Source organism: Homo sapiens, chromosome 6, assembly GCF_000001405.40.
Source record: "Homo sapiens chromosome 6, GRCh38.p14 Primary Assembly".
Classification (NCBI taxonomy): domain Eukaryota; kingdom Metazoa; phylum Chordata; class Mammalia; order Primates; family Hominidae; genus Homo; species Homo sapiens.
In genome coordinates, this window is record NC_000006.12 from 116,021,039 (window position 1) to 116,043,956 (window position 22,918).

General features: G+C 36.1%; 1 protein-coding gene and 1 pseudogene across 10 annotated transcripts in view; one reads left to right on the forward strand and one right to left on the reverse strand.

Moving 5' to 3' along the window:
- Positions 1-22,918, reverse strand: part of FRK (fyn related Src family tyrosine kinase) — a 169,577-nt gene that overhangs the window by 89,890 nt on the left and 56,769 nt on the right. The window lies entirely within an intron of this gene.
- Positions 17,693-18,906, forward strand: TPI1P3 (triosephosphate isomerase 1 pseudogene 3; annotated as a pseudogene). The gene has a single exon (NR_027338.1). The product of NR_027338.1 is annotated as a triosephosphate isomerase 1 pseudogene 3 (transcript).

Genomic DNA, 22,918 nt, shown 5'->3' on the forward strand with positions numbered 1-22,918 from the left:
TATGATCCATTAACTTTTAAAATCAAGTTCTTTCTGTTCTTTAGAAACTAAAAAGATGAATTATAAATGTTTTAAATGCTGAGAAACATTTTAAAAATATATTGAAAAAATAAATATTTATGGAGGCCTATTATGCACTGAAAGAATAAAAAAAAAAAAGACCATGCTTGCTTACAAGTTTACATTACAGTTGGAAAAACACAAACGTAGACCAGTATAAAAAGAAAAGAAGGGTCACAAAATATAAGCTTCCTAAGCACGCCATACATCATTTTGATGTCAGATAATTGGAGAAATATATTTTAAGAGAAATGTATCATGAGGAAACGTTTCATAATTGACATATATGATCAATATGTCAAATGGTGCAGACAAAATTTCACCTATAATGGTTGATCATTCAAAGGTTATGAGTAAAAAGAGTGATACAGTATAATTGCCTGGAATACATAACTATACTTCCACCTTCAAATTACAGTGCTATTAGTAGGAGTTTGACTTGACAAGCAGAGAACAAGGATTTTCTGCCTTATGATTTCTTTATGCTGCCTGCAGTCTTCATGCCCATTGTATGTAATTAACTAAAATTAAATTTACAGCAAAGGTCATGTCACTTTAAAATCTCTTAATAACAAAAATAAGATGATTAAGAAATCTGCATAAATTTTCTTAGCATGCCCTAATGCAAATCTTTCTATTGCTTTTTCAAAGCCATATATTCCCTTTCAATCCATGTTTTGAAAAAAGAACAAATTAAACCTAGAAGACATAGAAGGAAAGAAATAGTAAAGACAACAGTAAAAAATGGTCAAAGGAAAACCAAACCATGGGAAGAATGCACAAAGACAAAAATTGATATTTTTGGGAAGATTAATAAAAGTCATAAGGCTCTAACAAGATTGTTCAAGAAAAAAATCAAAAATAATTTATCAATATCAGCAATTAAAGAGGAGACCATCACAGATTCTCACATATATTAAATTAATAAAAAAAATGTTAACAACCATAGGACAATAAATTTGACAACTAAGATGAAATCGACAGGTTCCCCAATACATATAAAGTACCCAAAATAACACAAGAAGAAACAGAAAATATTAATAACCCTATATTTTTTAAAGAAATTACATTCATAATTTAAAACCTTCGCACAGAGAAAACTCCATGCCCTCAGGGCTTCACAAGTGAATTCTACCAAAATTTAAGGAAGAAATAATGTCAGTTTTACACATAAACTCTTTCAGAAAATACAGAAATAAAAAATGTTTTCCAATTTGTTTTATGACACAAAGTTACCCTGATACCAAAATCATAGAGAATCATCTTTTTCCAAGAAAAGGAAACTACAGATGAATATCTCTTATGAACACTGATTTGCAACCCCTTAAAATATACTGGTAAATCAAATTCATCAAAAATATATCACAACCAAATGGGATTTATCCCATTTAGAAGGTTATTTGAAAATCAGTTGTAATTGACCATGTTGATGAATTGAAAAAGAAAAACTATATAATCAGCCGCTCAATAGATGCAGAAAAATCTTTTTGAAAAAGTCAACATCTATTCATGATTTAAAAACAAAAACACTTAGCAAAGTTGAAATAGAAGAAAACTTTCTCATTCTGAAAAGGGGCAACAATATAAACCCTTCACCTAACATCATACTCAATGGTAAACTAAGAACAGACAAGAGCTACAAGCAGTTTTATATACACGGATGCAGACAAAGTCTGCAGTTAGATTCAGGCAACTTAATTATCTAATAAAACAAAAAAATAATAATTTTCAAAGAATGTGACAGAATCTAGAGTAGCTACAACAATGTCCTATATCCAATCACAGAAATAGCAGCATAGCAAAGAAACTGAAGAGTAACCCATACTCAGGCAAAAAAGCAGTCAACAAAAACGAACTCCAAGTATGTCCAGATGTTGAATTTTTAAATGGGCAGAAGACTTAAAGAGACACTTCACAAAAGGAAATATGAAGTTGGCTAATAAGCACAGGAAAATGTGCTCAACATCATTAGTCATCAAGGAAATGCAAATTAAAACCAACGTGAGATGGCAATTCATAACAAATAGAATAGCTAACAAAAAAACTAACAATACCAAATATTGGCAAAGATGTGGAGCATCTCTCATATGTAAAGTCAAAATAGTACAAGGCCTTTGGAGAAATATTTGGCAATATCTTATAAAGTTAAACATACATTGACTCTATGATGCAGCAATTCCACTCTTGGGTATTTACTTAAGAAAAATGAAAGCATATGGCCACAAGTAGACTTGCACAAAAATGTTAATATGAGTTTTGTTTGTAATAGACAAAAATGGGAAGCAGCCAAAATGTTCATCAACAACAGAATGGAGAAACAAATTACAATATAGTCAACTGGTACTCAGAATCAAAAATCAGCAAACTAATGATACATACAACAATATGATTGAGCCTCAAAACCATTATGTCAAGCCAAAGAAGCAAGACACAGAAAAGTAGATATATGATTGCATTTATATGAAGTGCCAGCATAGGCAAAACTAAGCTATGGTGATGGAATTACAGGGGCAGGGAAAGGGAGAGTATCTGGAAAGGGATATGGAATTTCCTGAGGTAATAGAAATGTTCTACATTGGGAGCAGCGGTGGCTCAGACCTGTTGTCCTGGTGCATAAGGAGGCGAGGTTTAGGCGTTCGAAGCCAGCCTGGGCAACATACAAACCTCTCATCTATATAACCAAGAAATGTTCTACATCATTATTGTTGTGTTATTTGATATACATTTATCAAATTCCATTGAAATGTAAGCTTAAAATCTGTTATTTTACTGTGTGTAAACTGTACGTAAGAAAGAATAATTTTTCAAAGCTACATTTAATTTTATAGCCCTAACATTTTCTTAGTTACACTTGAAAATAACTAGTTGGCTTTTGAAAAAAAAATATTCCACTGAAAACTTTGATCACAGAAATCTTTTCATACAGTTTGTGTCTGCTGCTATAGAATCCTGAGAACTTACACACACACACACACACACACACACACACACACACACACACATTAGACTGACCCATGTGAATATAACTTTCCTGGCTCCTGCTTCCTTACCATCAAGGAGGGTATGGAAATGACGTGAGTTACTTGGGGAGAATATCTGCTTTCCTGATAAGATACTTATGTTTTTATTTATTTATTTACTTATTTTTTCCTTTTTCTTTCATTTTTTTAATTATTATTATTATACTTTAAGTTTTAGGGTACATGTGCACAATGTGCAGGTTAGTTACATATGTATACATGTGACATGCTGGTGCGCTGCACCCACTAACTCGTCATCTAGCATTAGGTATATCTCCCAATGCTATCCCTCCCCCCTCCCCACACCCCACAACAGTCCCCAGAATGTGATGTTCCCCTTCTTGTGTCCATGTGTTCTCATTGTTCAATTCCCACCTATGAGTGAGAATATGCGGTGTTTGGTTTTTTGTTCTTGCGATAGTTTACTGAGAATGATGATTTCCAACTTCATCCATGTCCCTACAAAGGACATGAACTCATCATTTTTTATGGCTGCATAGTATTCCATGGTGTATATGTGCCACATTTTCTTAATCCAGTCTATCATTGTTGGACATTTGGGTCGGTTCCAAGTCTTTGCTATTGTGAACAGTGCCACAATAAACATACGTGTGCATGTGTCTTTATAGCAGCATGATTTATAGTCCTTTGGGTATATACCCAGTAATGGGATGGCTGGGTCAAATGGTATTTCCAGTTCTAGATCCCTGAGGAATCACCACACTGACTTCCACAATGGTTGAACTAGTTTACAGTCCCACCAACAGTATAAAAGTGTTCCTATTTCTCCACATCCTCTCCAGCACCTGTTGTTTCCTGACTTTTTAATGATTGCCATTCTAACTGGTGTGAGATGATATCTCATTGTGGTTTTGATTTGCATTTCTCTGATGGCCAGTGATGGTGAGCATTTTTTCATGTGTTTTTTGGCTGCATAAATGTCTTACCTTTTTAAAAAAGGTCTTCTGGAGAGAGGGCTTTAAAGCAAAGAATAGAAAGAATTGCAGGCCCCATGAAAGGACGAAATTAGAATTAGTGAGGCCCCAGAAGATCTGTCAAAAGATACCACATAGACTGCCATTGCTTCTTTGTTTAGAAAGGTGTAGACATAGCCACACATTGCAGAGGACCAGCTGGATGAAGCTCTAATTCTGGAATCCAGAAAGTAAATATCTAATTGGCAATATTTGTTATGAAAAGTTATGCTCCCAATTAGCTGAGGTTTTTGGAAAAGATATATTCAGATTGAAAAGTAAACAAAAATGTATTGTTTGCTTTCACTTTATTCAAAAAATGACTAAAACTTTATCTTAAAATCTATATATGGAATCTACTCTGTATTTGACTATGAAATATTCTATTGAATTTCAGCAGTAAAAGGAAATTCCTGCCACTGATGGTGAAATCATCATGAACTTATACCTAGACCATAAATATGTTTTCAAATTAAACAACTCTTTTCCAGATATGATAAAGCTTGAAACCACATTCTTGTCATTTTGACCTTTTACAAAACTAGACTTATTAGAAGACCTAAAAGCACCCAACATATGTGGTTATATCTTTATTTGTTATAGCCTACTTCTTACCAATGTCCTTCCTATTACTAATATGTGTGTGTTATAATCCTCTGTTAATAATATGAGTTATCTGTCATTGGTTCCACAATACAGAATAATAAATACTGTTGGGAAAACAAGCTATAGTTCTCTGTTTATGTTGAATCCAAAGTTTGCCATTTACTCACTGTAAAGGAGTATATTCCATATGTTGCATGGCCTCTGGCCTCAGTTTCCTCATCTGAGTTAAACTGAGATGAGGAAACTCATCTGAGTTAAAAAGGGGGTAATAATAGTACATTCTTCACAGGGTTATTGCAAAGAGTAAAGTAGAATTGAATGGAAAAAAATTCAGCACCTTAATATCTCCTTGACATTTCAATTGGATTCTACCAATAACTCTATAAAAGTAATCTACCAATAACTCTAGAGTAATCTACCAATAACTCAATAAAGCACAGAGAACAGGGGCCTTATCTTTCCATACTCCTCCCTCCTTCATGACAGTACCCATAGAAGAGGAACTTTGTGTTTCTATAATGCTAAAAGCCATAAAAATATTTTTTAAAAGGAAAGACTCTAGCTATATACGCTATGGCTAAGTCTGTCATCCATTTATTCATTTACATAGTTTTGAACTTTAGAATCAAGACTTCTGATTTCAGTTGAGAAGTGTGCAGCAAATAATTCTCTAATCAAATTGTACTAATGTAAAAAGCAAGGCAAAACCCTTCAGGATCTCCGGCTAGGCAAAGAGTTCCTAGACGTGACACCAAAAGTATGATTCATAATAGAAAAACATAAGTTGAACCAGGAAGGAAGGAAGGAAGGAAGGAGGGAGGGAGGGAGGGGGGAAGGGAGGAAAGAAGGAAGGAAGGAAGGAAGGAAGGAAGGAAGGAAAGACACGTGTAACACACCCACCTGCCCACCCACCATTAGGTTTTGTTTTTTTTTTAACTGATGATAAAATGTCAGGGATGTGGATAAGATGTCTTTCAAGGAGCCAAATTCTTTGGGATCCAAGTTAGAGAGAGCTGGTTGCTTTGTTCACAACAAAAGGCTTTGAGAAGCCAAAAGGTGACTTACTAATTCTACAAAGAATTTACCAGAAGGAAGGAAATGTAGCATCAGTGAATGATGCCAGTAACCAACACCTGAAGAAATCATCAGCTGAATACCAAAACGGGGCAAACTGAATAGTGGAGAAAGATGTGTCAAAATTGGGCATGGAATAAGGTATAAAGTAGGGAAGAGATGATAAGGAATTTATAATAAATCTCTGAAGTATTGGCTATTGCTTTATGTATAACTTGTCATGTTCCTGCAGGAATAGGATCAGGTCTTAAAGAGTTGCCTGTGGGCCATCCTAAACTGTTAAATGCATTAGGAATGATGTGTTAGATGTGTTAGAAAACTGTTAGATGAATTCAAAGTAATTGTTACTAATTACTTCACAAAGTGATTTTGAGGGCTAATGAGAGAGCATATTTAAATCATCCAACAATGTTCAAACTGCTATTCTTTAACATGAAATAACTTCCTCCCATCATACTACTAGAACAAAACAAAAACATAGTCGCAAATAAACAGCCTTAACAGAAAAGAGACAAGACAGCATAATTTTTTAAACTGTCAAATAGGTTGACAGAAGAAAATACTTATAATAGTGAATATAAGTGGCCTAAATGCTCCCATCAAGTCATAGAATTTAAGACTGGTTTAAAAAATCGAATCTGAGTGTATATTTCTTATCAAGTCACCAAAGGTGAAAAGATACAGAAATTATCAAAGTACAGTGTCAGATAAATTTTTTTCAATTTAACTTTTTAAAAACTAGGCACAACAATGTAAATTTAGAAAAATTGGAGTTTGGAGTTTTTCTAAAATCATCAAATTATAAAAGGTCATTATAACTGATAATTCATAATTCACAAATAGTTAATACGCACAAAATAGGATAAATAAAAATAGCATAAAGTAAGAACTATTCAAAAGTAAAAGGGAAAGAAGAACATTTGTAATCCAGTCCTATAGGTCTACAACAGATTCAATAAACAAAAATTATAAAAGGGCTTAAAGAAGAAAAAATAATATGATTAGAAAAATCATTATAAAAGACATTAAAAGAAAAATGCAAAATGAAACATGAGCTTTGAGTTTAAAAAAAAAAAGGCTGATATATAGGAGTGGACAGGACAGTCAGAGATGCTGGCCAAAGGGAAGGGAGGAACTGTTCAGAGACAAAGTCAGGGTTCAGAGGAGAAGCTATCCAGTATCTACAGGAAAAGAAAACTGAGTCATTAAAATGCTCATAATAAGTGCCTATATGGTAGGTAGAAACTGACTCCTTTTACTGCACAGTCAACACTCAATAAAATACACCACTTCTGATACCAGATGTGTAGGAGGTTTTCCCCACACACCAAGCATTTCACCAGCAGACACCAACTGGGTTTTCTGCAATTTAACTCAGTTTTGATGTTAACTGGTTATACTGTCACAAAACCCTTATCACTACTCAGTACCATCAGTATTTTTTCTGACAGGAAATCACAATTTATTTTTAAAAATTTCCTATACTAATAAATTTAAATTTTCTACATATGTTCCTTGACTAATTGCATTTTTATCTAATAAAATTTCAGTCTTTTGATTATTTAAAAACTGGATGTTTTTTTCTTAACATAGGGTGTGGACTCCATCAAAAGAAAACATTCATTCAGTGTGTTAGTCAGCTAGCACTGCTGTAACAAAGCACTACAAATGGGTTAGCTTAGCAGGAATGTATCTTCTTCCTACAGCTCTCAAGGTTACAAGTCTGAGGCCAACATGTCAGCATGTTAGCTCCTTCTGCGGTCAGTGAGGGAAAATCTGTTCCATGGCTCTCTCCTAGCTTCTGGTGTTTTGTTGGCAGTCTTTGGCATCCCTTAATTTGTAGATACATCACTCCAATCTCTGCCTCACATTCACATAGCATTCTTCCTGTGTGTATGTCTGAGTCTCCAAATTTCCCCTTTATATAAGTACATATTAGGGCTCCATCCTATGCCCGTATGGTCTCCTCCTAACTAACTAGATCTGCAATGTCTCTATTCCAAATCAGGTCACATTCTGAGGGTAAAGGCGGTTGGGGACTTCCACATAAAGACTTTGGGGGGACATACTTCAACTCATATCATTCAGTAATTCACTTATCAATATATTTAGGCAGAGAACATTTATGTCATGAATCCTACAATGCTTAGCCTTATGTTGTCATTGGAAGGAAAGAGGAAACTTCCAGTTCCTGCCCTCACTGAGCAGACAGTTGAGATGTGGGACCTGCCATTCTGTTTTGCTCACTCTGCTCCAGCCACACCAAGCTCCTCCATGTTCCTGGGCACAGTTAGCAAGCTCCTTCCTCAGGGACTTTTCACCTTCTCTTTCCTCTGCCTGGAACGCTCTTCACTAGATCCTTCAATTCACCACCTCTGTGAGATCTTCCCTAACTATCCCATTTAAAATAGTGACACCACTCATCTCACACTGCTTATTTCTCCTTCTAATTTTCTCAAAAATGCTTCTCATCTTCTAATATAGTCTATAACTTACTTCTTTGTTTTGTTTATTTTCTGCCTCCCCACTAGAATTAAACAACTTGAGAATAGGGATTTTTGTCTGTTTTGTACACTGCTGTAACCCCAGGGCCTAAAATCATGCTCAGATAATGATGATGCAATGGATTAAGTGCTATGAGAGATACTACAGCCTTAAGGTTTAAGTTCAATAATCTCTTATTTATTTTATACATATTTATTGAGCACCTACCTATTTAGGTACTGCTTGTGTAGTAGTGAGTCATACCAAATTCACTTTCATTTTTTTATTCTCTCTTTGCTCTTCAGAATAAAAGCTTCCTAAATCATCAATTTAATTCAGTATTGTTCTATTGCATAAAGTAAGGGCCAGGCACCGTGCAAATTATTTACATTAACTATTCATCTATTCTACAGAACAACCCTATAAGGGAAGCACTCTTACAATCACTTCCTACACAAGGAAACTGAGATGTTTTAAGCCTTTTCTGAGGTCAAATTAGCAAGCCACAGTGCTAGAATGCAAATCCAGATCTATCAGTCACCCCTTTTCCATCTGAAGGTCCTTTCATTCATCATCATCTATCTAAAAATCAAAATACTCTGATATTGTGCCCTTAATCCCTTTTTTAACCTGATTTTTAAGGAAAATTTTTTCCAATTATTTTGTATTTTTGTTTGTTTTAGTTTAACTTTATTAATTCCAGATCCTATTTATTTTCTAGCCATCTCAGAAAGTACTGTATAAATTCTTACTCTTTGAAATTGAATTTCTTCATGGCCTACAATGATCAGTTTTTATTTATGAACCACAGACCCCTCGGAAGAAGGTATAATCCATATTTGTGTGGTACAGAGTTGGTATCTGAAACAGGTGTTTTCCTGGCCTCATAGTAGAACAGAGTTTGAGATTATAATGAGCCAGCCACTCCACAATTCAGACCCTCTCAATTTCTTTTTGATCCTTAGTCAGGGACAGAGGTAAGGGAGAGAGGATGATCCCTCAGGTGTCCCATAAAATGCTAATTCCCTTGGTCCAGTGTGCCTGACCACTCGTGGTTTTGCCAACTTACTTTGGGGAATCCGAGAACTCAGCCAAAATCATTTCCCAAATATTAAAATAAAATATGCACCTAGCGCTCCTATCACTCAGAAAATGATAAGAGTTTTAGGAGCTCTCTGGCACAAAGCTCCTAATCCTTTGGAATTTCCTGGGTGATAGGAGCATCTTTTGTTCTAATGGGGTAACACATGGTGGGCTTCTGAATCAGGGCTGGTCACCAGAAAGAACAAGCCATGAGGAGGGAAGAGCTGGAGATCTAATAATTGATCATACCCACGTGATAAACCCTCCATAAAAAAGAACATGTGGATGTGTCTGGAGGGTAGTGCATTTGGGGAGGGTGTGGAAACCCTTCATTGCTTTCCCCATACCTCACCCTGTGAATCTCTTTCATCAGGCTGTTCATCTGTATCCTTTACAATATCCTTTGGAATACATTGGTAAACGTGTTTCCCTGAGTTCTGTGAGCCATTTGAGCAAACTAATCAAACCCCAAGAGTGGGTCATGGGAAGCACCCAATTTATAGCTAGTTGGTCAGAAGCAAAGGTCACAACCTGGGGATTGTAGCTGGTATCTGCAGTAGAGGACACTCCTGTGGGACTAAGCCCTTAAGCTGTGCAGTCAGTAGGATCCTTTACAAACATATTTGGCAATAAGCAGTAAGAGCCTTAAATCATTCATTGTTTGGCTCAGTAACTCAGATTCTTGGACTCTATCCTTAAAAAAATCGTGCAAAACATGGAAAAATCTTTATATGGGAAGAAATTTGTTGCTATGCTATTCAAACATTAGAAAAATAAAAAGTGTAAGAAAGTCTAAATGCTAACTGTTAAGATGAGGGTTAAATTATGATTAATTCACTGACAGAAATATGAAAATTAGAAAAATTAAGCTGAAGACTTGGTAGCACCTTAAAATGCATAGAAGTAAAAAAGTGGAATATGTACACTGATTACTTTCATGCAGAAAACATAAGCACATGAAAACTAAGATATTTTACTTTTGTATAATAAATTTGTTATACATATATCACCTGAAAAATATATTTTAGTAACATTCAAAAATGTCATTATAACATAACATATTACTTTGTGCCAAAAATACTTCAGTGAATTTCAGAGAGGAGGAAAATCACATCTAGCTCTAATGGTTGAGAAGAGATGTAATGCAGGAAGTTAGATTTAAAGTGGATATTGAACAATTTGGATGGCAGAGAAATGAGTACACATTCACAACAATACTTTTAATTTATGTTCCAAACTCCACATCACCCCAATTTGGAGTAAGAAATCAACTCAATGGATCTGTGTACATCTAAGCCAATCAGAATTAGAGTCCATGGACTCCCACAAAGCCATGTGACCCCAAGTCTGACATCAAAATTACATCAAGATCAGCTAGAAATAGATTCAGTTAGGTTTCTTTCAATTTGTTTCTTAAAAGATGAAAGTGTTATAAAAATACACCATGTCTTGGTTATCTTTAACCAATTTATCTATGAAATATGAAACAGCAGATTAGGAATAAAATTTATTTTGAGAAACAATATGATCATTCACATGAAAACTGTCCCAAACTCTCAGATATTTTTAAATTCCTAAAAGATTTTCCCAGACTTACAATTATTTCTCATTACTTCATTCTAACAGACTGTCACCATAATTCTGACATTATAACTAAATTCATATCCAAAATATACACAAGAGGAAGCTGTAGAAAAATTTCCAACATAAGGTTCCTTCCTAATAAAATGAATCCCTCATTGTATTCTAAGGCCTACAGGGTCAGGAACTGTGTATCATTTCTCAGATTCATCCACATATGGAGCACATGGAAGACAATAAATTTTTTCTGAGAAGATCAACACAGGTAAAAATCATAAAGTGAAAGACTAATAGGCAATATTATAGAAATATTTTTAAAATTTTGTGTAGCAAAAAAACATAATAAAAGTCAAAAGGCAAGCTAAAACTGAAAAACATTATCTGCAACACATGAGAAAAAAGAGATGCTTTTCTTACAATGTTCTCTTACATGTAAATGAGAAAAGATTGACATTTAAGATAAAAAGAGGCAAACATGCAGCCTATCCCCAACACCACGATATCCTAAGGAAGGAGTGATCATTACAGAATAAGTATAGAGAAAAAAAATCAAGATTCACATGGCAGGTTTAATAAGTTTGCTTAATAATACAGAATTTGAAGAGAAATCTTTAACAAACATGTGGTGTATTGATGAATGTGCATAATCCACTCAGCATTGTTATTACAATCCATGTTTAAACACTTTACATTGTTAATTAATGTTGGTTAATATTGGAAGTTCTGTTAATTACAACTAAAATGTCAAGTAGCATTACTGCAAATACATATTCATTTATATTTCATGGCCATGTTTAATTTCTTGAGGGAGGGAGAAACATCTTTGAGATGCAGAGAGTAATTTTATGTAATAGCACCGCAGAATTGATTCACATTGTTTTTCCATGTTTACAGCTTTTTTGGGGTGTGTATATATTGCATTCAATTCATTAAAAAAATTCTTCTTTGCAGACATAAATAATGGAATTCATGCCTGTGATAAGCAAAAAAATAAAAATAAAAATTTTTAAATTATGGAAATAAGAGAAAAGCAAATGCAATCAAGGGTTGTGAAATGCCTAGGACTGAAATCTAGAAATCTGTTTATTAATAACGTAGCCTTTTGTTGTCATTTTTAGAAATACTAGAGACTATTTTCACCTCTCAGATTGTCCCTTCTTGCACTCAGCATACTTGAGCAAGAAAGACTGTGTTCTCCAGACTCTATGATGGATCACAGGCAGCCAGTTATTAATAAGATCAATTTGAACTGCCAGGCAGGATGAAACATCAGCACAAGCTAATTAAAAGGTTACATTTCAATTCAAATATCTAAGTAAGAATAATAGTCATTACCACAATATCAATAGACTTTAAAACTGGCTATGTTTACCAATATCCTCAGGATAAATGTACACATACATGGACCAAAAAAGACACTTTCCCTTTAATATAAAAATAAATTACTTAGGGATAATTTGTCCTAAGCCCATAGATCAGTGGTTCAGGATAGAGCAAGGTATTACATCTATGAGACCAGTTCTTCAGCTTTTAAATTCTAATTGAGCCAGTTATTTTTCTCTTTATTTTGTACAAATTTATTGAACAATAAATTTTAAAATCTAGGCTCTAAACAAATTTTATAAAATCATTTTTCAACTAGGTGTCTACTTTTCTGCCTCATAAAAGTCCTGTGGCAGAAGTGGAAGAAGCCAAGGAAAAAGAAATGAGGAATTAAGTCAGAGAAGTGATGGTGTAAATGAGAGATAATTAGGGCCTTGAAAGGCCCTGCAAGGAGACTCAGAAGTCAACTCTAAGTCAGAGAGAAAACTGCTGGAGGATTTTGAACAGAGAAGTAATTTTAATTTTTTGGCATTTTAATGGGGTCACTCTGCCTGCTGGGTTGAGCATAGACTGTATTTAAGGTAAGGGTTACATCACAGAGGCCAGTTAGGAAACTATCACTCTAAGCCAGATTGAAAGTTCAAGGTAGGTTGGACCAGATGGGGACAGGAGCTGGTGAGAGATGGTTCATTTGTGGACACTGCTGAAGGAAGAGGCAAAGCAATGTGTCTGGAAATGAGGTATGAAAAGAAAATGGAAATCAGAACGATTCCAAGGTATTCGGCCTGAGCAAATGGAGGATATTTGCTGTTGACAGAGCTGGGGTAACCTTTGCGGGGCCAGGTCATGGGATGAATGCTCCTGCATTCATGGGATGAACAGAGGTTGTTTACTGGGTAAAAACATACAGTTAGACAGAAGGAATAAGTTATAATGTTTAATAGTACAGCATGATGTCTATACTTAACAGTAATTGCATATTTCAAAATACCTAGAAGAGAGAATTTGGAATGCTCCCAACACGGAGAATTGATCAGTGTTTGAGGTGATGGATATCCCAATTACCCCGACTTGATCATTATATATTGTATGCATGAATCAAAATATCACATGTACACCATAAATATGTATAATTATTATGTATCAAAAATAATGTAGATAACTAAAATGAGGACTAAGAGCTGACCAACAAGTATTACGATATGGAATTTCCTTGGTGACTTTTGATAAGAGCAGCTTCCCAGAGTAGTAAGAAGAATAGTCTAACTGCAGTGTGTTCAAGAGAGAATGAGTCAGCAAAATTCAGATTGTGGGAAATTCCACAGGCAAAGGAAATAAATTGCAAGGAAACTAACGCAGAGAGAAGATCCATATTAAACAAGATTAAAAGAGACAAATCAATTATAACAAATGGACTTTATGTGGACTCACAAGCAACCACAAGACATACCCACAAAAATCTGGATTCAAATAAACCATAAAAAACAAACTATAAAACTGTGAGAAGTTTTACCCTGGATACTTGGTAATATTAGGGTTATTTTATTTTTTAGGAGAGATTATTTTATAATTATGTTTGTTCATTAAGAGTATTTCATGTATTTTAGATATACTTACAAAATTATTTACAGATAGAATTATATGATGCCTAGGATTTGCTTCAAAATAACACCATAGTGGATGGAAATTGGGTGGGAAGAAGAAATATTAATATAAGGATGAGATAAGATTGCCATATGTTGAGAATTGTTGAAGTTGAGTAATGGTACCTAGTGGTACTGTTCTCTATCCTTTTTATATGTTTGAACTTTTTTATAATAAAAATTTTAAAATTGTGGTGTGGGGGATCAGAGAGAGAAGAAAAAAATAGGACCCTGAGTATAGGCAACTTTTTCAGAGTTTTGCTATATAGTAGAGATTCGTGTGCAGTAATCAGAGGGGAAGTAGAGTCAAGCGTTGTTTTTAAGAGTTAAGAATACTGATTTTGTTTGCTGCTGCTTGGCCTTCCAAGAAGAACTTAGTCCTGACAAATGATTTAATTCTTTACTAATGAGAATTTAAGTTATAGTGGTGACCTCAAGAGAGGTCAAAAATTGTTCTAAGAAATCAGTACACAAATATCCAATTTCAGTTGACCTCACAGGATGCTTAAGGATCATCCACATTATAACATTTCTAACAGTCTTATTCTTTTCCAATATAACTACAACCATTACTCACATCTACATATCCATCAAAAACACACATTCAGAAACTCTCTACGTAATAACATTGAATGAAAATTCTGTTTCAAAGTTATAGTCTGCTAATATAACTCACTAGCAAAGTATTAGCACATGACAGCTAGTAAATTTGGATTAAATATAACCAATGCCCAAATCAAAAAATGAAGAAGCAAGGAAAATTGTCATACGCTGTATGTAGCTATTCCTTAAAATCAAACTATCAACTCATTGGCTTATTAGTAGAATTAATTCTTAAACGTTTTCCTTAATCACTACTGCACTCACTTTTTTTTCAACATTGCTGGCTAACAAGTACTCAGTTGTTGCAACAACTACCCGTAAATAAATAGCGAGCAGGTGAATATCTGTTTCTATGGTTTCTATTTACAGTAGAGAGAGATTGTTTGACACTTGCTACTTTCCTTTTATAATAGAAATTTAAGTATTACCTTCTCCCTATTCTTATCCTTCTTTTCCTCCATCCTGTAATGCTATCTATTTTCTTTCTCTTCATCTGGCTCTCTTTCTCAATCACCATTACCTCTAAGTTCCATTAAAAGTGATTTAATTTCAGTTTTCCATTCTAGGAAAAATGTCTGGACAGAAAAGGAACAAGCAGTGGGAGAGCTGCCTGCACTTTTTTTAAAAATAAGTTTCAGCAAATATACTTTGCTTCTTAAACTAGATCAGCAACTTAAGAAGAAATGACAGAGTTTCCTTCTTTGCTTAGACAAAGCCTCTTTCTATGACAAATCTTCGAGTAACAGGGATAGTTCCCTCCACCTCCATCTTTCAGCAGTGTCTGATATCTGTTTGATAAGATAAGCTTCAGGAATGCAGTGAGCCAATTACTTGGGTTGCCCTCAGCAAATATACTTACTTACTGCTGGATCAAACTAAAACATTCATTACTTATACCCCTATTTCTATACATGGTACAAAATTACAGCAAACAAAAGTTGGTAAAATATAATGTTACATTGATAACAGAAAACATGAGTTTGAAAAATAATTTGGGATCATTTTTCTCATAATACCCTCTGTACAAAATTGAATCACCCAAGTGTGCTCAATGACCTGTCAGTGTACAATGATGCAATAGAAATGGTAAAACAAAATCCTTTATATCATCCCAAAACTGTTGAGCAAAGATTCCTGAGAGATAGTCTTCCCTTGCTTTTGAGAAAATTAGCTTCTGGGAAGTGACTTTCAAAGTCAAACAAGGTGGTAATATTCTTTTGAAAAGGAAAAAAATAATACTTTATTCATTAAATAAGTAAAATAACGTTACAACATAGATATCAATGTACTTAACTGTAAATTAAATGTACAGATATGTTGAGCAAATTAAATGAGCACTGTCCTATGTCAACATTGGAACTGTGCAGAAACATATGAACCTTCTCTAATCCAAGTTCAATTATGTATTCCTTTAACTCCTCAAAAAGCAATTTCATATTCTACATGTGAGCATGCCAAGAGAAAAAAAGTTACTTTTAGTATTATTAACATAGTATTTCTTTGAATATTAAGTCAGCAAATAACACATATTTCATGTTTGTCCTAATGGAGAATGTCAGGCACACCCAAATGTATCACTGCTTTCTTTGTAGACTTTCTGAATCACTCAGCCAAGCAAAGCTGTTAACTTACTCTAATACCCTACAGAAGCCTTTGGTTTTACCACCTTTAAAATGCCTGTACAGCCAATTTCCCATTAGCAAATATAAAAGATTTTTTATATTACTATTAAGTTGCTTTAACAAATTTAATTTTAGGTCCCTGAAGTCTCTTACTTGGTTCCACTGCCTGTACAACAGGTGTTCGTATTTTTGTGCATTGCTTTCTTTTTACATTAAGAAAGATAAACAACACCAAAGTGTAATAGATAATTTGGTTGATATAAAGAAAGTAGAATGAGGGAAGAAATGGGCTTAATTCACTTTCAATGACAATGATTAGAATTTCATTTTCTACACTACAGACCCAATGGTAAAGGAGCAAAAGCTCCAGGGACTTTAAAAATATAATTAAAATAATATAAGCACAGAATCATGAACTTTCTGGCATGCCCATATTTGTCTGACTTATTTCCATACTGAGCACAATATCCACATCCAGCCTTCCCTCAGCTACTGCATACTATTATCTGTCTACTCGTAAATCCCTTCTTATTCTCTATCGTTTCTCACACATTCTCACTTTACTTGTTTTCCTTAAACATTAGCTTATTTCTTTTATTTTTGCCTTTGGGATCATTTGTTTAATAAACATCTTCTTTTCTAATGTTTATTAAAAATTCACCTGCCTTTTTTACCCACATTTTAAACTAATGTGTCTCCTCTTTTTCTTTTGATTGTTTTCTCTACACCTCATATTTCTCCTCTACTGCACCTGGGTCTCATTCAGGTAGAGTGAAGAAAGGCCCAACTGAAGACACTTTCCTGCCTTGCTTTGCAGATTTGGAGGAAAACAGAATGAATCCTACACATGTGTACAAACCCGCAAATGAGGGGAAAGCACAGGGAGCTTGTGTCAAATTCTCCAGCAAAGATGTGCACAGTTAGAATTGAAAAGCAACGGGATAAACAAGGTAAGAGGCAGGGGAGACAGCACCAATCAGCATGAGAGCCACAGAAGCAAAATGGGAGCCAGGTAAGGAAGTAGCTAGAGGAGGTTTCTGGCCAACATTCATTAATTACAATTCTGTCAAACAGCCTGTCATGTTTGGTTTACAATGAGTCTTCCAACCAAGCTCAGAAAGGCAATTTAAAAATGTATTTTTTAATTAGTATATAGATTAAGATATAAAAAATTTTTTCTTTATAATTTAAGGTTCTAAAATGTAAAACATGTCAAGACTGATCATTATTATTCATGTATTAGAGTAGGCTAAAATAGCAGATGCCTATAAAACTCCACATATGTTCTATAGAATAACAATTTAAAAGAATTCAAAAAAAGAGAGTGTGAGAAGGAAGAAAATAAGCCAGACTTAAAGACAAATATGGTTATTATGAATAAGCATTAGCTGGACTCTGAGCTTCCTAGTGGCTAAAAATAAAGAAAACCATGATGTGTAATAAATTTTTAGTATCTGCTGTGAGGAAGCAATTCAACTTTTCAAGAGAAATGAACCTTAAGCTTTTGCCCATACTAATCTCACAACACAGGTTCTTACATTTTTTTTAACATGATACCTTTTAGAATATCATAAAACCTATAATCCCCAACCTAGAAAATCACTGAAGGCTGACGCTGACCTTCAGCACCTCAGCTCCAGCGCCATGGCGACCTCCAGGAAGTTCGTTGGGGGGAACTGGAAGATGAACCGACGGAAGAAGAGCCTGGGGGAGCTCATCCGCACTCTGAAGGCGGCCAAGGTGCCGGCCAACACTGAGGTGGTTTGCACTCTCCCCACTGCCTATACCGACTTTGCCCCAGAAGCTAGAGCCCAAGATTGCTGTGGCTGCGCAGAACTGCTACAAAGTAACTAACGGGGCCTTTACTTGGGAGATCAGCCCTGGCATGATCAAAGACTGCAAAGCCAATCGAGGGTCCTGGGGCACTCAGAGAGTAGGCATGTCTTTGGGGAGTCAGATAAGCTGATTGGGCAGAAAGTGGCCCATGCTCTGGCAAAGGGACTCAGAGTAATCGCTTGCACTGGGGAGAAGCTAGCTGAAAGGGAAGTGGCATCACTGAGAAGTTTGTTTTCGAGAAGAAAGAGGTCATCGCAGATAACGTGAAGGACTGGAGCAAGGTCGTCCTGGCCTGCGAGCCTGTGTGGGCCATTGGTACCAGCAAGACTGCAACACCCCAGAAGGCCCAGGAAGTACACGAGAAGTTCTGAGAATGGTGTCCAACATCTCTGATGTGGTGGCTCAGAGCACCCGTATCCATTTATGGAGGCTCTGTGATGGGGGCAACCTGCAAGGAGCTGGCCAGCCAGCCTGAAGTGGATGGCTTCCTCGTGGGTGATGCTTCCCTCAAGCCCTAATTCGTGGACATCATCAATGCCAAACAATGAGCCCCATCCATCTTCCCTACCCTTCCTGCCAAGCCAGGGACTAAGCAGCCCAGAAGCCCAGTAACTGCCCCTCCCCTGCACATGTTTCTGATGGTGTCATCTGCCCCCTCTTGCGGCCTCATCCAAACTGTACCTTCCTTTACTGTTTATATCTTCACCCTGTAATGGTTGGGACCAGGCCACTCCCTTCTCCACTTAGTATAATCGTTGGAACTAGACGTCACCAAGGTGGCTTCTCCTTGGCTGAGAGGTGGAAGGGGCAGGATTTGCTGCTGGGTCCCCTAGGCCCTAATGAGGGAAGGAGAGAAACCATCCTCTTCCTTCTTACACCCTGAGGCCAAGATCCTCCCCTCGGAAGCCATGAGTGCTGCCCTCTCCCACGGTGCCCGCGCCTGTGTGTGCTGTGTATGTGAACCACCCACGTGTGAGGGAATAAACACCTGGCACTAAAAAAAAAAAAAAAAAGGAAAAAGAAAATCAAAGAAATTTTATAGACATTTTCAAAGATTCATGAACTGTTTCAAGCCTATCCTTGGAACCTCTAGAAGTCCATGATCTACATATTAAGGATTCTTGTCATTAGAATGCACATGGGGGAAGTCTTAAAAGTCATAGTGAATAATGACAGCAGAAACTGCAAAATCTGTTTTAATGTCTTTCTTATTTAAGAGCATAATATTAAGGGATAATTTAGTGAAAATAATTGTGTAAAGAAGGGAAAGTCATATGTAAATGACTTTATGTAAAGAAGGTAAAACTACATATGTGTAATCACAATGTCTATATTTGACCTTATGGCCAGCATACTAGCTACCTTTATTTTTCATGGCATAAATAACTTCTAATAATTTCTTCTAATAATATCCTATGGAAGTATAAAATCTATAATACTCAAATAAGTAAATCTAATAGCAATCCATTTATAATTCTCTTACTATATTTTATAGTTTACTAACATACATTTGCAAACAATATATTATTTGGTTTTCCTTATTTGTGGGCTTTATAAAAATAGAATTATGTTACATGTAGTCTCTTGAAACTTTTTTCACCCAATATTATGCTACCAAATTGCACCCGTTATTATACATCACTCAATTCATTATTTTAATCTTGCATATTTTATTCAATAAATAAGCCATAAATTATTCCTCACCCATTAATAGATATTTGAATTGATTCCAGCATTTGCTATTAGAAATTTAGGTGGTATCAACATCTTCTGGGAAAAAAGATTTACTCTGACAATGGAAACGGGAAGAATTCATAGGCTCATTACTAGTAATAGTCTAAGTCTTGGGCTAGCTGGTTATATGGATGTTCATTAATTATTATGCTTTAGAACCTACCTGAAAGTTACATATATTATTTTGTATTTATAAAATATATTTTAAGATAAAATTGATAAACTAGAATATTTTATAATACTAAAAATTTTGGATAATGGAGATTCATGCTTTAAAAGATGGTAGAAATTTCCTTAAGCACCAAAATTTTCAAAAGTGAAAAATTATCTATTGGGATTCTTTGGTCTCCACTAATTACTATGTAATAATTTTGTTTTCTATCATTTTCCCGGGACCTACTAAATCAATAGCATGTCTTTCCATTTTCCTCAACTATCGCTTCCCTGAGTTAGACTTTGATAAAAGATAGCACAGAGTTCAAAGTGATTCATCATCAAAACCAGTACCTGTCTGTTTTGCTATAAACTATTGCATAACACAAATGCAAGGTATTGAGTTGCTTTTTTATTGTTTTTATCTGAAATGTCACTGTATTCTCTGGATTATAACAGCCTAAGGCTAAACAGAGGAATACTCTATAACCACTGTATACCAGAAAAGAAAACCAGGGCTTCTTAATTCATTCCCTATCTGTCTTCTAGGAAAGTGCAAAGAGGATCATGTGTTGTTCTTGTGTATAAAAGATTCCTTGAAGCATCTTGGATTAAGTCGTGCGCAAGATGGCTGAATAGGAACAGCTCCGGTCTGCAGCTCCCAGCAAGATCAACACAGAAGGTGGGTGATTTCTGCATTTCCAACTGAGGTACCCGGATCATCTCATTGGGACTGTTTAGACAGTTGGTGCAGCCCACAGAGGGCAAGCAGAAGAATGAGGCGTCGCCTCACCCAGGAAGCTCAAGGGGTCAGGGAACTCCTTACCCTAGCCAAGGGAAGCCGTAAGGGACTATGCCGTGAGGAACGGTGCACTCCAGCCCAGATACTACTCTTTTCCCACAGTCTCAGAAACCCACAGACGAGGAGATTCCCTTGGGTGCCAATGCCACCAGGGCCCTGGGTTTGAAGCACAAAACTGGGCAGCCGTTTGGGCAGACACCAAGCTAGCTGTAGGAGTCTTTTTCATACCCCAGTGGTGCCTGGATCACCAGCGAGACAGAACCGTTCACTCACCTGGAAAGGGGGCTGAAAGCCAGGGATCCCAGTGGTCTAGCTCAGCAGATCGCACCCCCACGGAGCCCAGCAAGCTAAGATCCACTGACATGAAATTCTTACTGCCAGCACAGCAGTCTGAAGTCTACCTGGGACACTAGAGCTTGGTCAGGGAAGGGGCATCCACCATTACTGAGGCTTGAGTAGGCGGTTTTTCCCTCACAGTGTAAACAAAGCCACCAGGAAGTTCGAACTAGGCAGAGCCCACCACAGCACTGCAAAGCCGCTGTAGCCAGATGGCCTCTGTAGCTTCCTCCTCTCTGGGCAGGGCATCTCTGAAACAAAGGCAGCAGCCCCAATCAGGGGCTTATAGATAAAATTCCCATCTCCCTAGGACAGAACACCTGGGGGAAGGGGCAGGTATGGGCACAGCTTCAGCAGACTTATACATTCCTGCCTGCCAGCAAAGGGAGGCCCACTAGACTAGCAGCAGATCTCTCTGCAAAAACCCCACATGCCAGAATAGAGTGGGGGACAATATTCAACATTCCTAAAGAAAATAATTTTCAACCCAAAATTTTATATCCAGACAAACTAAGCTTCACAAGCAAAGGAGCAATAAAATCCTTTACAGACAAGCAAATGCTGAGAGATTTTGTCATCACCAGGCCTGCCTTACAAGAGCTCCTGAAGGAAGTACTAAATATGGACAGGAAAAACGGGTTTCAGACACTGCAAAAACATACCAAATTGTAAAGACCATCGACACTGTGAAGAAACTACATCAACTAATGGGCAAAATAACCAGCTAGCATCATAATGACAGGATTAAATTCACACACAACAATATTAACCTTAAATGTAAATGGGCTAAATGCTGCAACTAAAAGACACAGACTGGCAAATTAGATAAAGAGTAAAGACTCATTGATGTGCTGTATTCAGGAGATCCATCTCACGTGCAAAGACACATACAGGCTCAAAACAAAGGAATGGGGGAATATTTACCAAGTAAATGGAAAGCAAAAAAAAAAGCAGGGTTGCAATCCTAGTCTCTGATAAGACAGACTTTAAACCAATAAAAATCAAAAAAGACAAAGAAGGGCATTACATAATGGTAAAGGGATCAATGCAACAAGAAAAGCTAACAATTCTAAATATGTATGCACCCAATATAAGAGCACCCAGATTCATAAAGCAAGTTCTTAGAGACCTACAAACAGACTTAGACTCTCACACAATAATAGTGGGAGACTTTAACACCCACTGTTAATATTAGACAGACCAAAATGAGACAGAAAATTAATAAGGGTATTCAGGACTTGAACTCATCTCTTGACCAAGCGGACCTAATAAACATCTACACAACTCTCCACCCTGAATCAATAGATGTACATTCTTCTCAGCACCACATTGCACTTATTCTAAAAGTGATCACATAATTGGAAGTAAAACACTCCTTAACAAATGCAAAAGAATGGAAATCATAACAAACAGTCTATCAGACCACAGTGCAATCAAATTAGAACTCAGGATTAAGAAACTTACTCAAAACCTCACAACTACATGGAAACTGAACAACCTGCTCCTGAATGACTACTGAGTAAATAATGAAATTAAGGCAGAAATAAATAAGTTCTTTGAAACCAACGAGAACAAAGACATAACATACCAGAATCTCTGGGACACAGCTAACCCAGAGTTTAGAGGGAAATTTATAGCACTAAATGCCCACAGAAGGAAGCGGGAAAGATCTAAAATTGACACCCTAACATTGCAATTAAAAGTATTAGAGACGCAAGAGCAAACAAATTCAAAAGCTAGCAGAAGACAAGAAATAACTGAGATCCAAGTAGAACTGAAGGAGATAGAGACATGAAAAACCCTTCAAAAAATCAATGAATCCAGGAAGTGGTTTATTGAAAAGATTAACAAAATAGATAGACCGCTAGACAGACTAATAAAGAAGAAAAGAGAGAAGAATCAATTAGACATGAAAAGTGATAAAGGGGATATCACCACTGATCCCACAGAAGTACAAAATGCCCTCAGAGAATACTATAAACAC